This window comes from Homo sapiens, chromosome 13 (genome assembly GCF_000001405.40).
Source record: "Homo sapiens chromosome 13, GRCh38.p14 Primary Assembly".
Lineage (NCBI taxonomy): Eukaryota > Metazoa > Chordata > Mammalia > Primates > Hominidae > Homo > Homo sapiens.
This window is the reverse complement of record NC_000013.11, coordinates 81121370-81127814: the sequence shown is the minus strand read 5'-3', so window position 1 is coordinate 81127814 and position 6445 is coordinate 81121370.

Sequence of the window (6445 nt, the reverse complement as noted above, 5' to 3'; positions counted from 1 at the left end):
TGTGGTGTATCATATTAATTGGCTTGCATATGCTGAATAATCCTTACACCCCAGGAATAACTCCCACTTAGTTATGTTAGATGGTCTTTTTAATTTGATGTTAAATTTGTTTAGTTAGTGTTTTGTTGAGGGTTTTTGCATCTGTGTTTATCAGGGATATTGGCCTGTAGTTTTCTTTTCTTGCAGTGTCTATGGCTTTGGTATCAGGGTAATGCTGGGCACATAAAATAACTTTGGAAATATTCCCTCCTCTTCAATTTTTTGGAAGCATTAATTGACATTAATTTTTTCTTAAATATTTGGTAGAATTTACCAGTGATACCATCTGATTCTGGACTTTACATTGTTAGGACACTGTAATAAATGTAAATTAATCATATATGTATTGTTTCCAATTAAATATTTTTACTGATTGTGTGTTTGTTCAAATTTTCTATTTCTTCATGATTCCATCATTGTAGATTAAGTTTCAAGGAATGAATCTATGTCTCCTAGGTTTCTCAATTTGTTGGTGTATAATCATTCACAGTAGTTTCTATAATACTTTTTATTTATGTACATTAGTTTTAAAGTCTACTCTTTTATTTCTAAGTATATTTATTTAAGCATTTTCTTCATAGTATAGTTAATGTTTGTTAATTTTGTTTATCATTTTAAAAAACCAACCTTAGTTTTGTCAATTTTTAAAATTGTTTTTCTACCCTCTATTTTTTTTCTGCTCCAATCTTTATTATTTCCTTTCTTCTGCTAACTTTGGGCTGAATTGGTTTTTCTTTTGCTAGTTTCTTGGGGTATAAAAGTAGATTTGAAAATGACATGACATTACATGTAGAAATTCCTAAAGACTCCACAAGAAAATTCTTAGAATTAGTAAGCCAATTCAGTAAAGCTGTAGAATAAATTATCAACATATATCTGGCATTTGAATAAATACCCAGTAGGAATAAGAAGTACCCAGTAGTATTACAGCTCATGTCTATAATCTCAGAGCTTTGGGAGGCCAGGGTAGAAGTATTGCTCGAAGCCAGGGGTTCAAAACCAACTGGGGCAACATAATGGGACCCAGTTTCTACTAAAAATAAAAATAAAAATAAATCAACTGGGTGCAGTGGCGCATACCTATAATCCCAGCTTCTTGGGAGGCTGAGGCTGGAAGATTGCTTCAGCTCAGGAGTTCGAGGCTGGAGTGTGCTAGGATCATGCCACTCCACTCCAACTTGGATGTCAGACAGACACCTTGTATCAAAAAAGAAAAATTATCAACATAAATCACAACTTAAAAAAATATTGTTAAAATTATCATACTTCTCAAAGTGATCTCCAGTTGTAATGTAATTCCTATCACTATAACAATGACATATTTACAGAAATAGAAAAAATATCCTAAAATTTTTATTGAACCACAAAATAACCCAAATAGCCAAAGCAATCCTGAGCAAAAGGTGAAGGCATTGCATTACCTGACTTCAAATTATACTATAAATCTATAGTAACCAAAATGGGACAGTACTGACATAATAACAGACACATGTAACAATGCAACAGAATAGAAAATCCCAAAGTAAATCCAGATATTTATAGTCAACTCATTTTTAATAAAGTTCCCAAGAATATAAATTGGGAAAATGATAGCCTCTTCAATAAATGATGCTGGAAAAACTAGGTATATGTAGGCAGAAAAATGAAACCAGAACCCCTTCTAGTACCATATACAAAAATCGAATCACAATGGATTAAAGACTTAAATCTAAGACCTGACACTATGATACTACTAGAAGAAAACTCTGGGGAAACTCTCCAGGACATTTTGTCTGTGCAAATATTTATTGAGTAAGATCACAAAAGAAAGCATAGGCAACCAAAGCAAAAATGGATAAGTGGGATCACATCAAGGTAAAAAGCTTCTACACACCAAAGGAAACAACTGAAAAAGTGAAGAGATAACCTACGGAATGGGAGGAAATATTTGCAAACTATTTATTCAACAGGGATTTTAATACCCTGACTAGACGAGGAACTCAACAGAAAAAAAAAATGGGATTAAAAAATGGGCAAAGGCTCTAAATAGACATTTCTCTAAAGAAGGTACAAAATGGCGAAATATATGAAAAAAATGCTCAGCACCACTAATCATCAGAGAAATGCAGATCAAAAGAACAGTGAGACATCATTTCACTGCAGTTAGAATGGCTTTCATCAAAAACAAAACAAAACAAAATCAAACAAAAAGAAGTGCTGGCGAGTATGCAGAGAAAAAGGGAATTCTTATTTATGGTCAGTATGAAGGTTAAATTGGTACTGCCATTATGGAAAACAGTTTAGAAGTTTATCAAAGAACCTAAAATAGAACTATGATATGATCCAGCAATCTCACTACTGGGTATTTATTCAAAGGGAAGAAAGTCAGTATATCAAAAGATACCTGCACCCCCATAATTATTGCAGCACTATTCATGATAGCCAGGATATTAACCTAAATATTCATCACTAGATGAATGGATTTTTAAAATGTGGCATATATACACAATGGCATACTATCCAGCCATAAAAATAATGCAATTCTGTCATTCACAGCAACATAGATGAAACTGGAGGACATTATGTTAACTGAAATAAGTCAAGCACAGAAACATAAATAGCAGAATGTCTCACCCATATGTGGGAGCTAAAAAAATTGAGCTCATAAAAGTAGATAATAGTATTGTAATTGTTAGAGTCTGGGAAGGAAAGAGGGGTGGGGGAATAGGGAGAGGTTGGTTAACGCATAGGAGGAATAAGTTTTAGTATTCTATAGCACTGTTAGGTGACTACAATTGACAATAATTTATGGTATATTTTCAAATAGCTAGAAGAGAGGGTTTTTAATGTTCCCAACAATAATAAATAATATAAATATTTGTGATGATGGATATGCCAATTACTCTGATTTGATCATTACACATTATATACTTGTATGAAAATATAATTATTACATGTCAATTAAAAATTAATTTAATTTTAAAAATCAACACACAAAAATCAGATCTGTTTGTGTACACTAACAATGAAGTATCCAAAAAAGAAATAAAACAATTTTATCTTCCATAAAAAAAGATTTAAATACTTAGGAACAAACTTCACCAAGGAAGTGAAGGACTTCATCACTGAAAACTTAAAAAAAAAAATCAATGAAAGAAATTAAAGACACAAATTAATGGAAAGACATTTTGTGTTCATAGTTGGAAGATCTAATATTGATGAGATGTACATACTACCTAAAATTATCTGTAGATTCAATGCTATTCCCATCAACATCCCAAATGACTTTTTTTTTTTACAGAAACAGAAAGAATTTTAAAATTTATAAGGGACCACAAAAAAATATCAAAATAGCCAGAACAATCTTGATAAAGAAGAGCAGAGTTGGAGAAATTATAGTTCTTTATTCAAAATATATTACAAGGCTATAGGAATTAAAACAGTATGGTACTGGCATAAACCTAGACACATATAACAGTGAAACAGAACAGAAAGCCTAGAAATAAACTCACACATATGCGGTCAATTGATCTTTGACAAGAGTGTCAATAGTATACATTTAGGAAAGGACAGTTTTTATTTAAATATTGGGAAACTGGATGTCTACATGCAAAAGAATGAAATTGGACTCTATCTTACATCATACAAAAATCTTAGCTCAAAATGGATTAAAGGCTTAAAAAAGTAATACTTCAAATTAAGACTATTAGAAGAAAACATAAAAGCCTCTGGACATTTGGCAATAATGTGTTGGATATGACACTGAAAACACAGGTAGCAAAACCAAAAATAGGTGTCAGACCATATAAAACTAAAGCCTTCTGCACAACAAATAAACATTCAACAGGATGAAAATGCAACCCACATAATGAGAGAAAGTATTTGCAAATCATATATTTGATAAGGGGTATTCAAAATATGTAAGGAGCTCCTACAACTCAATAGCAAAAAATAAAAATACAAACTAAAAATACCAATAACCCAATCTTAAAAATGGGGAAAGGACTTCAATAGACATTTCTCCAAAGAATATTTACAAATAGCCAACTGGTATACCAAAAAAGTGCATAATGTCACTAATCATTAGGAAATGTGAATCAAAGCCATAAAAGGATATTGCCTTACTCCTGTTAGGAGGGCCGTTAAAAAAAAAAAAGAAACAAGATAACAAGTGTTGGTGAGGCTGTGAAGAAATTGTAACACTTACTTGTACACTATTGGCAGGAATGTAAAATGATGCAGCTGCTATGGAAAACAACATGGAGGTTCCCCCAAAAATTGAAAATAGAACTACCATATGAACCATCAATCCCACCTGTACATATGTAATAGAAGTGAAATCAGGATCTTGAAGAACTAGCTCCATTCCATGTTAATTGCAGATTTATTCACAATAACTAAAATATGGAAACAACCCAAATGTTTATCAATGGATGAATAAAATAATTGTGACATAATCATACAATGGAATATTATTCAGCCTTAAAATGTAATGTTTTATTTATTGTATTGATCATTGCTTTCCCTAATATGTTAATCTACTCTAAGAAGGAAGTTCACATTGCTATTATATGTATTCAATTCAATGAAATTCAAGTATTTATGATGATATCTATTTGAATATGAAGCATATAACTTTGTAACATCAATACTTATAGCTTTTAATGAAGGTGATCTTGGAGTCTAGGACACTGTATGTAGTATGACCAATTAAATTAGATTATACGTGTCTGTGTGTGTGCGTGTGTATTTTTAATGTGTGAGGTTCCTTTTTTAAAAAAAAAATATAGACTTTTTTCTTTGGCTTTTTTTATCACTTTTTTCAAATTGTTTTTGAAATATAATCTAATCCTATTTTGGTATCATAAATTTATAATTCATATATATCTATGAATATATTACATAGATATATACAAATATATATATGTTGTTTCCTTGGCACATGTCAAAATATATGTTTTTCTCTCCCAAATGTGTATATACACACATTTTGGAAATAAGTGTATTTATAACTACAAATAATACATAATGTATATGAAAAGTTTTATTTAAAAAAATATATTTATTTCTAAAGATCAGTAGGGTAGGTACAGCACCATTTTAATGTTATTCTCTTTGAAAAATTATTTAAAGAGCCCTGAAAATAATCCTCTCAGTTCTCTTAAAAAAAACCATTTCATTATCTTATTTTGTAACCAAAATGCATGTTTGTAAAAATTTAATGCAGATAATGAAGCATAGCATTATACCCTGTCAATGAGGACACCAATCATGTGCAAAAACATAAAATGAAAGGACTGCAGTTTAATGGACTACACAAAAATAACAGTCTTGTCATTGCACTTAGCCTGGATTCCCAGGGAAACAACAACTATGAAACTATCTAGTGCTCTCATACTTTTGATAGAAAATAAAAGTTAAATGATAATTATAACTATTAGGCTATCAGTCATACTGTCAGTCTCTATAATGTTAATAAATTTGGCCTTTGCAGCCAATTTCAGCAAAGTTTACAATGATCTGAGTCTTGATGCTGGGTAAGAATAAAAAACATCAAGAAAATAGAAGCAAATTTAATACTGAGATGTATAAAGTGCAAGTGACAAGAAAATGTCAGGAACTTAGCATTTGTTCTTATTTTATTTTAAGTATAGATGTCAAATTTTGTAACAAATTTTATGCATGCCCTTGTCTTGAAGGGTATGTGGGCCTTTATAAGATGCATATGGAAAAGAACTTTAATAAAATACATTACCCTTCAACATATCATTTGTTTCCCTATTGAAATACGCCCAGCAGGTTCATAGAAACTGCTTGAGTAATAAATGTTTTCCAGTATCTCTACTGGAGACCCCTATGTCTTCTTGCCTTATCAGAAATTCTCCTGAAATTATTGGCTATAGACATCATTCTTTCTCCTATTCATTTATTGTTTCCTTGGCCCACATCAAAACCGTTCCCTGTCATGAATTTTCAATTAAGTACATGCATCAAATAATACCTTTTCATATCTTTATTGTGAGAAACCATATTCATTACCAATTTTTAGCATAAGTAGATTAATTTTAAAACTGGCTTGGATTTTTCATCTTCAGAAACTTCTGGTAAGACGACTCCTATCATCTTGTTAGTATGCTAACAATTACCATGATGAAAATCTAAAACTATCAGCTTTAAAGTTTTTCATTCTCATCATTCTCTATGCTTTTAATATAATTATACGTATGTCTGTAAGAGTGAACCTACAAATTGCATTTCCATGACAGTATAAGAAAGACTTGTCCAAAAACCTTGAATTCAGAAAGCATGGTCTTGCCTAACAGAAGCATATATATTCTTCTTATCTCTAAGAGTTTGTATCACAATTGCAGGACTAGCATATACTGAGATTTTGCTTGTGAAAATTACTTGTGAAAAGTAATTATTT